The sequence below is a fragment of the Homo sapiens genome, chromosome 6, assembly GCF_000001405.40.
Source record: "Homo sapiens chromosome 6, GRCh38.p14 Primary Assembly".
NCBI classification, from domain to species: Eukaryota; Metazoa; Chordata; class Mammalia; order Primates; family Hominidae; genus Homo; species Homo sapiens.
The window spans coordinates 155,453,991-155,474,164 of NC_000006.12; the positions used below are offsets into that span (position 1 = coordinate 155,453,991).

Here is a 20,174-nt window from a genome sequence, read left to right on the forward strand (position 1 = left end):
TCCCAGTGCATATAAAAGTTATATTTATACCATCCTGTAGTCTATTAAGTGTGCAATAGCATTATGTCTAAAAAAAGTACATGCTTTAATTAAAAAACACTTTATTGCTAAAAAAGACACAGAGACACAAAGTGAGCACATGGTATTGGAAAAAATGGCGCTAGTATACTTGCTCCACACAGGGTTGCCAGAAGTCTTCAATTTGTAAAAACCATAGTATCTGAGAAGAACAATAAGGGGAAGTGCAATAAAATGAGGGATGCCTGCATAATACAGTATTTTACCTGGTAAAAGTTTTTGAAGGTCTCATTCTCTGCATGCTATTTTGTTTGACAGGAAGCACAGGTAAGTTCCCAACACAGTGAAATCAATATAATTGAGAAATATCCCATTATGTTTGGTAGAGGTTAAAATCTACATAATAAAATCTATGTACTGTGATTATGCTTTTGTGGGTGAGAACCCAGAGAGATGTTTCCTGGTGGCGTTTGTCTCAAAAGCTTATCTGTCTTCTTTCAGTCAGAAACAATGATGGTTCCAGCTATTATAATGCTTCCATCTTCATGGGGCAAATATATCAGGAAACTGTTTAGCAATGAGTTGAGTGTCATGTAGGAAATCAATGGCAACAGCCAAAGCCAAATCAGATAGATGTACTGATTACCGTTTTTCTGTCTTAGCCTTTCTGTTATCTCTAACAAAGAAACCCAAGTTTAAACAGAATTACTGAGAATTTCATAATAAAGTACATTTTTTTTCAATGGCACTTATATGAGGAAGTCGTAACAGTTGAGATTATTTCAGATATTTTAGTACTTACAATACTTGTTCCTCTTATGAATGAAATAAGGTTTCGACTGACAGGTATTAGAATTAGCATGCAGTTAAAATTCAGGCACAGTGCGGATGCTCGTGCCCAAGCCAGTGTTGACTGTCCACATGTAAAGACATAAAAAAGAGATTCAGGGAAAACAAGGATCCAGGGAAAATAAAATGCATTTTGTTTTCTGAAAAAATAATGTTTAATCATAAACTGTACTTACACCCAAAATAACTCGTGTGTAATGGAAAGACTCCTCCTCTTCATACCAGTAGAACGTGTCAATAAACAGATAAAAATTTATTCCCAGCCATGAGAGCTAGAGTAGAAAGGAAAGAGAACCAATGATTACTACCTTCAAGCTTTTTCTCTATTCAAAATCACTTGGGGTTCTTCTTTTAAAGTGGAATGAAGAGCTTCTCAATATTAATCAGAATTACTCCACATATTTATTTCTCATAGATTAGTTTTTAATAGGATTATGATGGTAATACATTATTACCTTTATTAAAAAGATTTTAAACACATATGAGTCAACTTTAAGTGATTTAATGAAACTACAAAACCTTCTTAATCAACGTTGCTTGACAATGATGTCAAGAAGGAAGAAATCTTTAAAAACAACTCCGAGAGTTCTCTAGAAAAGTTCCAATTTCATAGTCTAATTCAAAGACTTCATTTGATTTAGAGAAACACTCATACATTATGCAAAAACAAACTACTTGACTTTAAAAATAATTAAAAATGAGCTCAATCGGAAAACAACTTTGCATGATTCTATAAGGGGAAATTAAATACATCTACTGAATGTTTTCTAACAAGTTTTAGTCTTTTAACTAGAGTAATACTTCAAGCTATTTAGCGTTCCTATACAAGTTTTCCTAAAAATCAAAGACTATTCAATCTATATATTTAAAGTTGAATAACAAAAATGATACTTACTACTAATATGGTGGAGAGACCCTCATTCAAAATCCAGCACCCCATCATGATACTTGTTGCTCTTCGGCTGTCAGGAAATTTCTTCTCCCTCACCTGTGTCTGGATGTTGGGTCGTTAGTAAGGGCTTCCCTAGTAAATTATTTTGTCTTTGTGTCATAGGAAGCACCTGCAGGGAGCAGCTCTCGAGGAATTTCTAATTAAGGACTTCTTGCCAAAGGCACATCACCACACTGACATGCCTCATGACCTGGGTAAATACAAGGCAAGTCTCTGTCTAATGATTCCTTTCGTCAGAGATTTTATAAGAAAAGAAAGCTGGTTTTATTAAATTGTCCTCATGTACTTTATACCCGTTCATTTTCTACATGATTGCAGTCAAGATGATAGTAAGTCTTTATGTAAATCTGAGAAATAACCTAAGTGCTGAAGGCTGCATATAGCAAAGCTCTTTCTCTATTTGTTATTTTTTCCACTTTTTTTTTTTTTTTTTGAGACAGAATCTTGCTGTTTTACCCAGGCTGGAGTGAAGTGGTACGATCTGGGCTCACTGCAACCTCTGCCCCCTGGGTTTAACGGATTCTTCTGCCTCAGCCTCCTGGGTAGTTGGGATTACAGGTGTGCACCATCACGCCCGGCTAATTTTTGCATTTTTAGTAGTGATGGGGTTTTGCCATGTTGGCCAGGCTGGTCTGGAACTCCTGACCTCAGGTGATCCACCTGCCTTGACCTCCCAAAGTGCTGGGATTACAGGCGTGAGCCACCGCAACCAGCCATATTTTTTCCACTTCTTTAATTCCTTTTCCCCTCTTTCAAAAAAGCTCTCTATAGAAGACAAAGAGTGTGGGCTAAATGAACATGAATTAAACCGTCTTTCAGAAGATGGTGGAAAGAGATTCTAAAAAACATAAGATAGAAAACTCTCATATAAATCTAAAAGTGTGACTATAAAAAATGAACTTTTTTGTGGGACTGATGTAATACGTGTCATTAATCACACTTGGTGCACCCATGAGGCAAGTGCAAATATCCTTTCATACTCCAGTCACCCCAGGAGTGGCTGCACGGGAAGCCTCGTCTATCTCTGATTTTGTGTAAGTCATAGTTGTTCAATATAGTGACCATAATTCTACTCTGCTAGGCAAAATTGTCCTAACTGAAGCAATTTTCTGGCTGGTTTTGGCCCAAATATTTCCTTTAAATTTTTTAGACAAGATGAAAATAGGAGGAGAATCAATTTTGGAAAATCAAATCTCTCCTGTTAAAAACCTGGTAAGAGTAAGAATTGTGAATATTCATTTATCTTTATTTACCCAGGTACTATTAGGTTAAGGACTTTTCAAGTATTGTCAGTTAAATCATACATGGATTCTGTCAGGTCGATATTATGAGCCCCGTTACAGAAATGTGGAAACAAGCTTAAATGAAATAACTTGCAGTAGATAGGTGGTTGGGATTTGAATTCAGTTCTCTTTGACTGTAACATCTTCATTTCTAACCATTACCTTATACTGTCTCTTTTATGAAATATTAATATATGGACCTGTGCACCAAAGCATACTGAATATACAGATATAAATTGCAGTGCTGTAAATAGGACATTTAACTTATGGGAATTTAATTACAAATACATGTTGCTATGTGTGATTAAGTACACTATTTCTACATAATGCCAATGAATTACAGAAAAATGGATGTTATTCTATTGTATTAATAATGTTTTTTATTTTCTGCATTTTGGGGTGCATTGACATCTGAGGATCTTGCAGTCTTGGGGAGAAACTGCTCAAGTTAGGGTTAGCTCATTCCTAGTGATAGAAAACAACTGGTTTGGGAGCATGTCTTTGATATGCAAACCAAACACAGTCCAAACCCCTAACCCTCTCTTTCATTAAACTCTCATACATAGAATCAACCTTTCTCCTGCCTTTGATCACCTCAGAGCCAGGTACTGGACGAGAGACCAACCACACCTGTAGCCGAGGGCCTGCAGAATCTATTCAAACTATCCAATCTTAAACCTCCTCCCCTGATTATACAAACTTGCCCCTTTCTTCCCGTGAAAGCCACAAAGAAGGCTCTGCCCCGTGTTCTCCCCTTGATCCTTCTGCCTCCTCATTCATCCTGGTTAAGTATTTTGACAAACAGGTGAGTTTTCTACTTGTCACCCAGCTCTGATGTGTTACCTCTTTTGATTCTCATTTTCCACATTAGTTTAATGGGACTAATAACACCTACCTTGTAGGGTCATTCCCATTCCCCCTTCACTCCTCATCTGCCTAATACATACACACACTCATAAACACACTCACACGTAAACAAGACGATGCTTCTTTTGGAGAAGTCTTGGACTGGCCCATAAAAAATATAGTAAATTGACTTCTTGGAAAGACATCGTTTTTTAGGGATTTTTTCACTGTAGAAATATATGAAAGCATAGGCATTTTTGGCAGCATTGACCTGAGATTAGAGTGCAGTTAGTAAGATATCTTTAGTAGCTTCTTTAACCGTGAGCAATATAAAAGATGTAAAGTCTTTATATTCATTTCTTTAAGCCAATAATCTTCCATGATAAAATGATTTGTTATTTCTGAAGTGTTTAGGATTTACATATCTTAGAGGTCTTATTCAGTTGGGTTATAAAAATTAACTCAGAGAGAATACATCTAGAATTTTATACTATCTCTTCTATTTTAGATTCAATGAGTGTGAGGAAGAGTTGAAATGTTCTTGCCTTCTGTGTTCTTTACACAGTGTTACAAAGGAGAGACTTATATTGCTGAATAATAATGTAGGGTTGGCCGGGCGCTGTGGCTCACACCTGTAATCCCAGCACTTTGGGAGGTCGAGGCGGGCAGATCACGAGGTCAGGAGATTGAGACCATCCTGGCTAACATGGTGAAACCCCGTCTCTACTAAAAATACACACACGAAAAATTAGCCGGGCTTGGTGGCACATGCCTGTAATCCCAGCTACTCGGGAGGCTGAGGCAGGAGAATCACTTGAACCTGGGAGGTAGAGGTTGCAGTGAGCCGAGATCACGCTACTGCAATCCAGCCTGGGCGACAGAGTGAGACTCCGTCTCAAAAAAAAAAAAAACTATGGTCACACTTTTTTGTTCATTGCTTAGAATATTTCTAGTATTACAGTAAAAATAAAACAAAGTTTAGTTTTAAATATTAATCTTTACATGCTCCATCCTTATTTCTAAATGTGATTTCTTTATTCCTCATTTTGAATATGTAAAGAACATTATGTTATGTTAAAGTGTAGCTATTATTCATTTACAGTATACAAAGATGGTTAACAATTGTATTATGGAAGTATAGCTCATGATTTAACTTGGGCATTTTTCTTCATAGATTTTATTTTTATAAAATTTGCAATGATGTTCATTCATATTGAATAATCATATGTGGACTTCAAATTATATTCAAATTCATTCAGAGCTCAACAGTTTTGTATAATTTATGAATATAATTTTTTTCAACTTTTCTATTTTTATTAATACTTTTAAGAGTAACCTGATGACACCAATGATTGTTTTGCAATATTGGGATCAGACTTCCTAAGACTCATGATACCGTGTCTTCTGTCACACACAAAAGTCCAACTCAGTTCCACCTGCGGGCTCCTTTACACGAGCACTCAGTTTTTATAAACAAGGTATTAGGTTGCTCTCATTATTTGTTAATTTACCTGGTGAAAATTCTGGGAGGCATATCATGCCCAGAGGTCAATCTCAGTTTTTACTTCATGGAAGGAATCTGTACAGATCACAGTTGAAATCAAGACTCTCAATCACTTTCTAAGAAATGATTCCCAAGTTAATGGGGTTGTGTTTAAAGAGAAAGGGAATTGTACAAAAATCTACAGAAACAATATAAATGTTCAGATTTGATCTATTTTCACCTATTTGTTTTCATCACTAATAGGTAGTGCTCACTTCATTTCTCAGAATTTTCTCAGAACAAATGAAGTGAAATTTGCCTTGTTTCTGAGGTGGCTACTGGCTTTCTAATTAAATGGGTATATTCGTTGACTCTTCCAGCTCACCACAAAAGATGATGTGGGCTTTTTCCCTTGTAAATCTCACCAGTAACAAACCTACTATAATGGAAAAAGTAGGAGGGAAACAGAACAAATACATTTACAAAAAGCAGGTTAATTGCTTGTGTATGTGAAAGCAAACTCTACACTAACGATGCTACTTTCCTTGACTGGTTTTGCTCTATTATATTTTAGTTATTTTTAGTTCCTCAGTTGATCAGTTGACCTAACAAATAAATACTTTGATCTTCAAGAGCAAGATTGATCACCTAGTATATTTTGTTGCTGCCTCCTGTGATCTAGTTTCCCTGTGGATGTAGCAGAATTCATAACGTATAAAAATAGCATTGCAAAATTATTCTCTCCTAAGCATGAAATATGTTTTTGCCTTTTCCTAAAGCATTTATAAACATTTAAGTACTAAGGTGAACATTAATGGCAACAAAAGAAAAAATGCAAACACATATAATCCCAGATCCTTACATGGTTATTTTGAGGAGTGTTTATTGTGATAATTATGTAATTATATTAGATAAATTATATGTTGGTTAAATTTCATTTTTAAAGGAAAAGAAGAACAAAAGAAAAAAATCCATACATTAACATATATCTGATTTTTAAATAAAATTTAATTAATTTAAATTAGTATTTTACCTTTGCTGAATTAAGTATATTAGGCTTTTATTTCAGAAAACACTGTATTCTCTTAATATCATTTAAAAGTGGCTTGCGTCACAAACTTAGTTTACATTAACCACTGAAGCTTTCCCCCATATCTGTGGCATGATTCTTTCCTTTATCCAACTCTCACAGTCTCAAACAAATACTCTCTGAGTCCACTGCCTGCATCACACAATCCTAGGCACAGCGGGTATTAGAGGTCTGGCTTCTCTATTTGGAAGCTTACAACGCAGCTGGGGAGGCCACAGGTACATGTGCAATGGCTGAAGAATCATTTAAAGGTGAGGCTATCCTCAAGTGGTAGAAATTGCACAGCTGGGGGCTCCTGATACATGAAGAGATCTAGGTAAGAGCCTCCAGGGAGAATCCTTCAGATAAGGTGGATTGAGGTGGCTTTTATAAAAGAAAATAGTGTGAACAAGAGAAGGAGGAAAGTAAGTTTCAATCTCTAAGTTCTCTTGGAGTCTTGTTCATGCTCCTAAAACATCAAGCAGCAGGGGAAAAACATCCCTGCCTCCATTCCTCTTCTTGTAGTCGCTTTTGGTCTGGTCTAAGCCCAGAATGCCTGTTTGGTTCCCTTCCCATTCTCCTACCCTCAACTTCATCATCGCTTACGTACGTTTGCAATGCATGTCTTCTCTCCATTTATCAAGTCACCTAAAACCTTTCTCAAAGTTGATGGGATAGCTGTTTCTGGTAGGGCGTTGATGCTAGGTTACCTGAGGATCCCAGTTCATAAGAGAACAGAGTTGACTAATTCATCATTTTTTAACCCAAATTAAGTGGCACAATTCAGCCCCCAGTTCTGAAAGTTTTAAATGTTCAATTTTGAAATTTGGTGAAAGCCAGGATTATCATGCTCTTTAAGTGTTTTATATTGCGTCTAGCACATATTAGAACTTAATAAACATTTAATAATCCATATAGAACCACATTTACTTCTCTGCTTTTTGACACACAAGACACAGATACAGTCCCAGGGATTTTCAAGGAGTCAGTGGTTTTCATGAAAGCGTAAAAGTGAAAGCAAAGTTTTCCTTTCTAGGCAGTGAATCATTTAACTTCTGAGTTCAGGAAAATTTAAAGTTTAAGAAGGCTAGTCTAGAAATCCCTTCTTTGCATATCCAAGCTGTTCATCTCTCAAAAGTCAAAGTGGATGCCAGAATTCCATAGATTTCATTTTTCAAGATGAACAGTCATATTTGAACATATTTCAAGCCAGATGGTTTACAGTTCATGTATTTGTTGGCGTTTTCCTGCCACAACAACTAAATATTGAAGACACATATTTGTGATGAGGAGCGCACTTCCAACCATCTTTTCCTGTTGCTCTTTCAGGCTGCGTGCTCAGCCCCTCCCCCAGCGCCACATCACTGCATGCCGCAGGGGAAGGCTCCCAGCACTCACACGATGAAGTACATCCATTTGATTTAATAGACAGGGGATAGGAGAAATCACATAAAACAAGCCTCCTCCAAATACATATTTCTTGTAACAGCCATGAATTTTCCGGTAACAAATAAGAAAGCAAATGAACAGCTATTGAAATATTCCCATTTTCACCATCCCTTTAGACAAGCTGGAAAGTTTACTTTTTATCCTCCTAGTACCTTATAAGCCAGTTTGCCAAACTTTGAGACTATTTGATCAGAGTTCAGAAAAGAACAGGAACATCCAACAAAGGTTTAGTATTTTTTTTAATGCCATCAGATATGAAAATAGCAGCTGGAGAAAGCACTGCACATTTGTTCTGAAGGATGCCAACGTCACTCAGCAGGTTCAGTGATATCTCCCTTCCAGGATGATATGACTTGCAGTTCATTTGTCATCTTATGCACAATTTTTTATTATTCTACTCAGTTGTCAATGTTTGCATTATTACAGTCTTAAAGATTCATTTTAATGTGAAAGGGCCATTGGGAAGTTGGACCAAAGCAATATGGAAATTTAAAACATGGAAAATAGAAGAAAGAATGTAAGCACATAAAAGAATTATGTTTGCTTAGTACCATAACAAGATTTCTATGAATTTTCCATAAGCACTTCACAAGAAACTGGCAAAACGGAATAAAGCAAACCCGTCCACTGCCATCATTATAACCGTCACCCAATGACCCAGAACACATACACACAAAAAGACCCAGTAATTTTTTTTTAGATATGGTTTGTAGAGTCCCATATTTTGAATGAAAATTTCCCCTAGAATCATGACCCTCAAAAACGGAGGGAGATCGCAGGGATCCTGTAGAGCAATGTTCTCATGTTACAAAGGAGAAAATAGAGACTAAGAAGATAAGAGACTAGGCTTAGGTCCCATTGCTGTTTAGTGGAGAAATGAGACTAGAGCTGGTGTTCAGATCCACTGGATATTTCATTTTATCACTCGCTCCACTTCTATTTTCATGACTTTGCAGTCTACAGTGGACAGGGATGAAAGAATTAACAAAAAGCATATCCTGAGCGCTCGCTCTGGGAGCCCGAGTCCTAGGCAATGCTGCCTGGGAAGTGCTAATTGGAAAAATGTAACCACTCTCCAAAAGCCTGGAGTATGGCTATTTCTAGAGGGCCACCCAGGTGCCAGGCATTTTATACTATTATATATAATTCTTGCAGAACTATTAGGATGATATGATAAAACCTGTTTTATAGATGAGAAGGATGTGGAGATGCAAACAGGCTAAGTACTCTCCAAAGATCACCTAGTTAGTGAAGGCCAGGCTGAGTTGCAAGCCCATTGTGTGTGATGCCCCAGTCCTGTAGTCTTCCTGCTTGACCATGTTACTTTTAAGACAGATGCACAGATATATGACGACAACTACGGATGGCAACTTCCTTTATCTGCATGAATTCTTCTGTTTTGATTGGCATCCAGAGCTAGAGGCATTTTATTGTGGCCTGGCTGATTAACTTTGAACCAATAAAGAAAAAGTGTTATTCAGAATGACTGGGGCCATGAAGCTGTGTTGCAGTTCCAAGAAAAGAGAGCATCAGTCATCTGGTGCTACTCTGCCCACCTTCACTGAGGATGTAACTCTTGAGCGAGAGTACGTTTTATGTCAAATGTTTAAAAGTTTATACTTAAAGTGTGAATTTTCCCAATGGAAGAATAAAATTTAATAGGACAGTGGTCCTCAAGAAATGCCTTATTACTGGTAGATAATTTAAAACTGAAATTAATTTTTCCCATTGCCCTATTTTTAGCAATTCTTTTGGCCGACAGGAGGAAACAAATTAATTGCTCAGAACCCACATTAGAGTGCTTTTTATTTTTATTTTTTAAATTTATATTTATTTTTAATGAATGGCTCATCATTAATTGTTTTTATTCATAAAATGGAAGAGTTTAACAAAATAAAGAGTTTGTTAGCACACATTGAGAAGGTGGTAATGGAAGAAGTTTCTTTCTGCCACACATGCCCATAGATAAATCAAATCCTAAAAGTAAATAGAAACTTGCTTTCAGTATGACTTAATATTGACTGTTTTCTTTCAGTGAATGGAAGAATTGAACACAAAAAGGAATTTTTAAGCCTATATTTAGAAAAATTTATTGGAAGAAGATTCTTTTTTCCTCCAACTTTTATTTTAGTTTTGGGGGTACATGTGCAGGTTTGTTATGTGGGTAAATTGCATGTCATAGGGGTTTATTGTATGAATTATTTGGTCACTCAGATAATAAGCTTAGTACTTGATAGTTAGTTTCTTGATCCTCATCCTCTTCCACCTTCCACCCTCAAGTATGCCTTGGTTGTGTATTGGTCCCTTCTTTGTGTCCATGTGTACTCAGTGTTCAGCTCCCACTGAAGTGAGAACATGTGGTATTTGGTTTTCTGTTCCTGCATTAATTTGCTTAGAATAATGGCCTCCAGTGCCATCCATGTTGCTGCAAAGTGCATGATTTCATTCTTTTTTATGGATTTGTAGTAATCCATGCTGGATATGTACCATTATCCAGTCCACTGTTGACGGGCATTTAGGTTGATTCCATGTGTTTATTATTGTGAGTAGCACAGCAGTGAACATATGAGTGCATGTGTCTTTTTGGTAGAACGATTTATTTTCTTTTGGGTACATACCCAGTAATAGGATTGCTGTGTTGAATAGTAGCTTTGTTTTAAGTTCTTTGAGAAATCTTCAAACTGCTTTCCACAGTGGCTGAACTAATTTATATCTCCACCAACAGCATATAAACATTCCCTTTTCTCTGCCACATTGCCAGCATCTGTTATTTTTTGCCATTTTAATAATAGCCATTTGGACTGGTGTGAGATGGTATCTCATTGTGGTGTAATTTAGTGGTCCCCAACCTTTTTGGCATCAGGAACTGGTATAGTGGAAGACAGTTTTTCCACAGACTGAAGGTAGGGGATGGTTTTGGGATGAAGCTGTTCCACTTCAGATCATCAGGTATTAGATTCTCATAGGGAGCATGCAACCTAGACCCCTCACACACACAGTTCACAATAGGGTTCATGCTCACATGAGGATCTACTGCTGCCACTCAGCTGATAGGAGGTGGAGTTCAGGTGGTAATGCTCGCTCACCTCCTGCTGCGTGGCCTGCTTCCTTACAGGCTATGGATGGGTACTGGCCTGTAGCCTGGACAGGGGGACCTCTGGTTTAATTTGTATTTCTCTAATGATTAGTGATGTTCAGCATTTTTTCATATGCTTGTTGGCCGTGTGTATGTCTTCCTTTGAGAAGTGTCTGTTCATGTACTTTGCCCATTTTTAATGGGATTGTTTGTTTTTTGCTTGTAAATTTAAGTTCCTTGTACTTGCCAAATATTAGAACTTTGTCAGAGGCATAGTTTGCAAATATATTCTCCCATTCTATTCTGTTTATAGAGTGCTTTTTAGAAGATGGATCTTCAACAAGAGCAATGAACGTATGTTGAAAATCATCATATAGTTGCTTTTGATGTCTAGTTCTACATTCCTCTTTATGTGGTCTCAACCTTCCAGCCAATTTGTGCCATTTGAAGCTCCAGGTGCCGCAGTCCCTAACTGTACCTCTTTCATTTTTTAGTTCAAACTCTCTTTGAGGAGGTAAGGCCACTGGACCCAATAGGTGAGGCATCATGGCTACCCATCATTTGATTAATTGGTACTGGTTGTGAATAAACCAATCTGTACTTGGCACTTCAGCGTTTTATACTTAACTTCAATTTTACCTCTTACCTCATACTGTATTTGTGGTATGACATTCTGTCAGATACCTTCCTGCATGTTTCCCTAGATGGAGCTAGCTTGGCCATAAGCTACCATACTACTCTGCCTATAATTAGTACTTACTTAATTTGCAAGGGCTTTTTGTCTTGGTATGATATTATTGCCAAAAGTGAGAAGATTTCTTGACAAGGTGATTGAGGTGGTACAATATACAATCTGGCTTTTGGCAAAACCATTTGGTCAAACTATGGCTTCGTTCTTGCAATCATGTGATTGCAAAATACTCAACATTGCTCTTGCTGTCTATTTTTCTGCCTCTCCACGCTGTATAGGTAGGTCTTTTTCCCTAAGTTTGAAAACTTAATATTTTATTTTTCTGACTAACCTTGATTTCTTTCCCCCCTCATTAAACTCGATCTCCTTGCTGAGACAACCTGTCCTTGCATTCATGGATCATATCTCATACATTCCTGGCTCGAAATGATACAAAGGAGAAGTGAGGAAAGAAAAAAGGATGAGATTGGATGCACTACAAAATTGGAAATCAGGCCAAGGGAGAATAAGTTTTCTGTACAGCTAAACTCACCTGGTTCCAGATTCTTTCTAGACTATCCAAATTTATGGATGGGCAAGGAGATGTAGAACGTTAAAAAGCTATAGAAAGGAAAAAAATGGCCATTCTGATGTAGAAGCATGAAGATTATCTTTGATCCTTTCTCTTTCTCCTCCTTTGTAGTCTTCCATTTATTCCTTAATTTAACAAACATCATTGAGTGCCATGTTCCAGGCACACTAGGCCCTTGGGTGCCAGATGCATGAGGCATAGGCTCAGCATCCACAGTGCAGCAAGCCAGCCACCATATCATGTTGCTTGATTCTGTCCTGTATCTCAACAGATCCCCTCCCATCCATTCCAGGTGCCCCGCTATATGCCCTTACTACATTTGACTTGCATTTTTTTCAATTACCCCTAATTGACATATCTGCCTGCAGTTATTTTACCTTGACCCCAACTCTGCCACTGGAGTAGTTACTCCAAAGCACAGAATGAATCATGCTGTAACTCCGCTTATATGTCTGAAATGACTCCCATGAGAGACTGGTTCTGAGCTCCCGCTCCAGCTTTGTTTTTCTGTGTCCCAGCACATCCTACAAGCCAGCTATTCCAGAGCCAGCCAGGAGGTCTGTATTTTGTATTTTGTTCCTTCTTTCTGAAATGCTCTTCTTTCTTTTTCTTGCCATGTATTATAGTTCTCCAGTGAAACAGAACTAATAGGACACACACAAACACACACACAAACACACACACATTTGTTTGCTTATCATAAATAATTGCCACACATGACTGTGTGAAATCTGGCAAGTTTGAAATTTGCAGGGTAGGCCAGCAGGCTAGAAAGTCAGGTGGGTTGATATCATCATCTTGAATCTGAATTCTGCTGGGCAGCAGGATGCAAGCATGGACAGGGTTTTTGCATTGCAGTTTTGAGGAGAATCCATATTCTTGGAGAGAACTCAGTCTTTGTTCTTAAGGCCTTCACCTGATTGTGAGAATCACTCACATTATGGAGGTTGTATAAGTCTGTTTTCATGCTGCTGATAAAGTCATATCTGAGACTGGGAAGAAAAAGAGAATTTAATTGGACTTACAATTCTACATGGCTGAGGAGGCCTCAGAATCATGGTGGGAGGTGAAAGGCACTTCTTACATGGTGGCAGCAAGAGAAAATGGGAGAGAAGCCAAAGTGGAAGTCCCTGATAAACCCATCAGACCTTGTGAGACTTATTCATTATCATGAGAATAACACTGGAAAGACTGGCCTCTATGATTCAATTGCCTCCCCCTGGGTCCCTCCCACAACACTTGGAAATTCTGGGAGATACAATTCAAGTTGAGATTTGGGTGGGGACACAGCCAAACCATATCATTCCACCACTGGTCCCTCCAAATTTCATGTCCTCGCATTTGAAAACCAATCATACCTTCTCAACAGTCCCCTAAACTCTTAACTCATTTCAGCATTAACCCCAAAGTCCACAGTCCAAAGTCTCATCTGAGACAAGGCAAGTCCCTTCTGCCTATAAGCCTATAAATCAAAAGCAAGCTAGTTACTTCCTAGATGCAATGAGGGTACAGGTATTGAGTAAAGATAGTTATTCCAAATGGGAAACATAATTGGCCAAAACAAAGGGGTTACAAGGCCCATGCAATCTGAAATCCAGAGGGGCAGTCAAATTTTACAGCTCCAAAATTATCTCCTTTGCCTCCAGGTCTCACATCCACGTCACCCTGATACAAGATGTGGGTTCCCGTGGTCTTGGGCAGCTCTGCCTCTGTGGCTTTGCAGGGTACAGCCTCCCTGCTGGCTGCTTTCACAGGCTGGCATTGAGTGTCTGTGGCTTTTTCAGGTGTACGGTGCAAGCTGTAGGTGGATCTACCATTGTGGGGTCTGGAGGAGAGTGTCCCTTTTCTCACAGCTCCACTAGGCACTGCCCCAGTAGGGACTCTGTGTGGGGGCTCCAGCCCCACATTTCCCTTCCAAACTGCCCTAGTAGAGGTTGTCCATGAGGGCCCCGCCCCTGCAGCAAATTTTGCCTGGGCATCCTGGCATTTCCACACATCTTCCGAAATTTAGGCAGAGGCTCTCAAACCTCAGTTCTTGACTTTTGTGCACTTGCAGGCTCAACACCATGTGGAAGCTGCCAAACCTTGGCAGCTTCCACCCTCTGAAGCCACAGCCCAAGCTGTAGGTTGGCCCCTTTCAGCCAAGGCTGGGATGGCTGGGACATGGGGCTCCAAGTCTCTAGGCTGCAGACAGCACAGGGACCCTGGGCCTGGCTCATGAAACAACATTTTCCTTCTGGGCCTCCAGGCATGTGGTGGGAGGGACTGACGTGAAGGTCTCTGACATGGCCTGGAGACATTTTCTCCATGGTCTTGACGATTAACAGTGGGCTCCTCGCTACTTATGCAAATTTCTGCAGCTGGCTTGAATTTCTCCCCAGAAAATGGGTTTTTCTTTTCTATCACATAGTCAGGTTGCAGATTTTCCAAACTTTTATGCTCTGCTTGCCTTATAAAACTGAAAGCCTTTAACAGCACCCAAGTCACCTCTTGAATGTTTTGCTGCTTAGACATTTCTTCTGCCAGTTACCCTAAATCATTTTTCTCAACTTCAAAATTCCACAAATCTCTAGGGCAGGGGAAAAATGCTGCCAAATCTCTTTGCTAAAACAACAAGAGTCACCTTTACTCCACTTTCCAACAAGTTCCTTATCTCCAACTGAGACCACCTCAGCTTGGATTTTATTGTCCATATCATTATCAGCATTTTGGGCAAAGCCATTCAACAAGTCTCTAGGGAGTTTCAAACTTTTCCACATTTTCCTGTCTTCTTCTGAGCCCTCCGAAGAGTTCCAGCCTCCACCTGTTACCCAGTTCCAAAGTTGCTTCCACATTTTTGGGTATTTTTTCAGCAACGCCCCACTCTATTGGTACCAATGTACTGTATTAGTCTGTTTTCATGCTGCTGATGAAGACATACCTGAGATGGGGAAGAAAAAGAGATTTAATTGGACTTACAGTTCCACATGTCTGGGGAGGCTTCAGAATCATGGCGGAAGGCAAAAGGCACTTCTTACATGGCAGTGGCAAGAGAAAATGAGAGAGAAGCAAAAACAGAAACCCCTGATAAACCCATCAGATCTCGTGACACCTATTCACTATCATGAGAATAGCATGGAAAAGACTGGCCCCCATGATTCAATTACCTCCCTCTGGGTACCTTCCACAACATGCAGAAATTCTGGGAGACACAATTCGAGTTGAGATTTGGGTGGGGACACAGCCAAACCATATCAAAGGGTAATATACTTTACTCAAAATTGGCTGACTTAAATTTCAGTCACATCTAAAAATACCTTCATGGCGGCATCCAGACTGTGGGTTGACCAAAGAACTGGGCAGTGTAGCTTAGCCAAGTTGACACATAAAATTAACAATCCTATGTCTCATAAACGTAACCCCCTTCAAGAACTGGGTCAAATATGACCTCCTTTGCAAGGTTTCTTCCTCAGCCTCGTGTGGAAAGTGCTAAAAAGCTGTGTGGTAGCTCAATGAACAGCAATGCCCCTAGGGCAGCAGTGTGCTCAGCCTGGGGATAAGGAGGATAGGAGTCTTAACAATTTGGAATTTCACCGGGAAGAAAGAGATGTGAAAAGTCTTCCAGGCAGGGGGAGAAGCAGTTACAAAAACAGAGTCACAAAACCAGATGGGTGTGAGGGAACTGCCAGCATGGAAACAGAGGTCAATGGTGAAGACAGAGCAGGCAAGAGGAGACGGGAATGGTAGCCCGGGCCAGGTCACCCAGGGTCCTATTTGTTTCCTCATGCTGCCATCACAAAGTTCCCAAAGTTGGAGCTGAAAACAACAGATTTTATTCTCTCACAGTTCTGGAGGTCAGAAGTCCAAAATCGAGGTATGTGCAGGGCTGGTTCCCTTCGGAGACTCTGAGTGAGAATTCCCTCTGTTCCTGTCTGGTAACCCCTGATGGCTGCTGGCAACCCCTGGCGTTCATTGGCTTGGGGCTTCCTCCTTATTCCAGTCTCTGCCTCCATGCTCTGTCTTCACATGCATTGCTTTTCTCTGTGTGTCTCTGAATTTCCTTTTCTGTGTCTGATAAGGACACTTGCCATCATATTGGAGTCCTGCCCTAATGCAGGAAGCTCTTTCTTCAAGATACTTCCTTTAATTATAGCTACAAAAACTCTTATTCCAAATAAAGTCACATTCTGAGGTTCCTCATAGGCATATCTTTTGGGGGGTCATGATTCAACCCACCACAGCCTTCTAGGAAAAATAATAAATTTGGATCTGAGCCTGTATTCAGGGACCACAGATCCAGAGTCCAGGCAGCCTCTGTTAATGAGTCAAGAGGGCCAGAGGTGCCTGAAGCCCCACAACTGACCAGAGTGGTGACTTCATCTAAAGGGGGCAGCCTCTGCTTGGCTCTGGAAGGAATGTGGGCCAACCTTATTACATCTTTTCAATTTTTAAAGGAAAGTCACATTTCTAGAATTTTACATGAAACTCTCTTTAATTTGGAAACAAACTCAAATTAAAACAAAAATAAGACTAAAATCTCAATATGAACCCGAGAAACACATCTAGTGGCTGGAAATGGCTCATGGAGCCCTCTCCTGCACCCCCCCTGCCTTGGGGCTTCCACTGTAGGGGATGATAAGCCCTGAAAGAGCATGAAACACAGGGGTACTGGCCCCAGACTGCTGTATCAGAGGGTGACCTGGGTGTCAGGGTGGAGGATAGACTGAAGGGAGTGAACCTGGGAGCTGGAAGGCAAAGTAGGAAGCCCTCGCAGTAGATCGGGGAGGGCATGTGGATTAGTCCATTTTCATACTGCTATGAAGAAATACCTGAAACTGGGTAATTTATAAACAATAAGAGATTTAATGGACTCACAGTTCCACATGGATGGGGAGGCCTCACAATCATGGTGGAAGGTGAAGGAGGAGCAAAGGCACATCTTACATGGCAGCAGGCAAGGGAGTGCATGCAGGGGAACTGCCCTTTATAAAACCATCAGATCTCATGAAACTTATTCACTATCATGAGAACAACATGAGAAAACCCGCCCCCATGATTAAATTACCTCCTACTGGGTCTCTCCCACGACAGATGGGGATTGTGGGGGCTACAATTCAAGATGAGATTTGGGTGGAGACACAGCCAAACCATATCAGTGTGTGAAAGTTAACGCAGGAAGTGGTAGCCCCTAACACATTGTTGAGCCCCATATGAAGGCTTACAGAATGAAAGCATGAATTAAGGGAGGCTTAAAAAATCTGCTATATGAAATAATACAATCTATGGAGGCAGAAGTTTTTTTCCTATAGAATTATTTCAAATATCAAAGAGCTCCTTTTTCTCTTTCAGGAACTACATTTATCAACTATCACTCTGCTTTCATTTTCAAATAAAAAATATAACCATATACACAAATAATTAAATTAATATAGCTTATTATGACAAAAATAATTTCTTTTAACTTTGTGGACAGCACCACATTTTATATTAAGCTGCTAGTACTCATAACCGTATGATTTCAAAATCATCCAAGCTTGAAAAATTATTGTCTCTGGCATTACCAATGATCAAAGCAACCCCAATTATAATATTATATTAACCAAGCTAAAAAACAGTATTACAATTTCTAACCTTTCTGAACTGTAATTAGTCACCTAACTATGTATCCAAATTTATTTGATATGTTTGCATAGTTAATTAATTATGATTATTTAAAAGTATTTCATTTGTAAAACTTTGCTCTCCTTAGCCTACAAATCAAATTGCCAAGTGATAAATTTAATTTTAAAATATCTTCTTTAAATCATGTTAAGTTATAACATATGTCTTTAAACAAGACATATAAGACAATGTTGAAACAAACACAATTCTTTCTCTTTTAAAAAATTGAACTTTAAAAATGGGATGGGGGTTAAATTTGAGGAATCTGGTAGCTTAAATGAAAAGGCACTTGAAGAGACTCAAAGTCTCCTTCAGAACAATTTACTAAATAATGATCCGGCCAGACAGTGCCCCTAAGAAGTGCTTGATGCACACCTAGAGAAAAAGCTTTCAGGTCTGTAGCTTCTAGTAGGTTTTAAAGGGTATATTATGCATTAGGTGGAGTCACATTACCTAGAATGCAATAAGGCATTCTCATTGAGTCTCTGAGAATTTAACTATCATGTTAAAGGTAAAAATATTACAGAACGTACATTAAATGTTTAAAAATCATTTGAAATAATGACCGAAAATTAAACCGGATATACATCTACATGAACTCCAGTTTCTAGGTGAAAAATTGCGGCAAATATTCAGATGTATGCAAATACCAAAATATCTGGATGAAGAAAGCTTCCAGATGTTACCTGGATTTCCTGAACTGTGTGAACCTATCTGTGGAAGTTTACTTTTTGAGACTTCTGGTCATAGCTGTGACCTTCATGGGTGCACGGAGCTCCACTACTACTTAAAATACATAGAAATGCCAGCTATAATATTTTTAAATATTAAGAAATACATAACCAGGTTTATGACAAGAATGGAAAACTCTAGGTTCCCAAATGCAGAGTGTATACAAAGCAGTAGGGATGCTTTGGGGTTCCAGGATGGAAATCCACCTTAAGAACCATGGGTTAGAGAACATGCCCCAGGCATACACACAACATGGTACCAGGTTTCCAGCCTATTGGAAGAAGCTGTGAAATCACTGCCCTTTCTATTAATAGGATCAAAAATGTCTTTGCTTAACTGTAAGCCTGGGAGAGAATGGTTCATTCTTTATTGTGGGAGGAAACAAAAGTATCTTGAGAATTGTAACCCTAAACTTATCTAAAAGGTGATGAAACACAGAGCCACAAATTTATGTAAAAGTGGTTCCTAAGTAGTGAAACCTCCAGGGGCTTGGCAGAAGCACTGGTAAATATATCATGCAACGTAGAGCTCTACTGTTGAGTTTCCCTTAAGACAGAAATGACCTTACATATAGAAATTTTAATACATACAAGGTTCAGTACAAAGCAAGATAGTCCATAGGCAATACATAGGGTATTGTCTAAATGATCAGGAATAATAGAGCAATAACTACACAGAGAGGAATTATTGCAAGTTATTTTTTAAAAAGTAATTTGCCTACATTTTGAGGAATATGCTATAAGAATAAAATAAGTAAAATATAATTTTAGTGGAAATATTTTTTTCAAAATGGTTGTGTGTATTGAAGGATAAAGAAAAATGAATGTTTACATTGGTGTCCTTGAGAACTAAGGTTTTCTGTGTGGGGGAAAAAAGATGCAGAAGTGAGATCAATGAGGCCAAGCAGAAATTCTGTAATTATGGGTTTAAATGAGAAGTATCAGTTAAAAAAAAGATGTATTTTATTTAAAATATTATTTTCTTTTGTAAATTTAATTTAACTTAATTTTAAGTTCCGGGATACATGTGCAGGATGTGCAGGTTTGTTACATAGGTAAATGTGTGCCATGGTGGTTTGCTGCACCTATCAACCCATCACCCAGGCATTAAGCCCCACACGCATTAGCTATTATCCTGATGCTCTCCCTCCCCGCAAAGATTATTTTCTATCTATGTTCACTGAAAACGTCCAGAAAAAATAAGAACAACTAAGTGCCGAAGAGCAACGAGTATCCCTTGGCTGACGTTGTGGTTTCTAAATGCCATTTATCGGTAAAAGAAACCACAAATCCATGGAGAAATGGCTGAGTCTAAGATTGCAGCAGGAAGTTTATAAGAGCCTAGAATATTTAGTCACATAAGAAAGCAAGGAAGCTGGCAAAGACGCCAAGTAACATGTCAAAGAGCCTGAAGATCAAATTGAAAAAGTTACCACTGGCCAGATATAGGATAATTTGAGGACCAATAAAAATAATAACATATCAAATAAGTTAAAATGCATGAGTTCATAAAGAT

General features: G+C 38.9%; 1 protein-coding gene across 1 annotated transcript in view; it reads right to left on the reverse strand.

Annotated features, from left to right (window-relative positions):
• NOX3 (NADPH oxidase 3) overlaps positions 1–1,849 on the reverse strand; it is a 60,472-nt gene extending 58,623 nt beyond the window's left edge. Inside the window, exons 1-3 of the mRNA NM_015718.3 lie at positions 1,763–1,849; positions 1,044–1,139; positions 821–931 (exon numbers count right to left, since the gene is read on the reverse strand). Coding sequence (NP_056533.1) covers positions 821–931; positions 1,044–1,139; positions 1,763–1,810 — 255 coding nt within the window. The 5' untranslated portion in view covers positions 1,811–1,849. The remainder of the gene's footprint in view (positions 1–820; positions 932–1,043; positions 1,140–1,762) is intronic.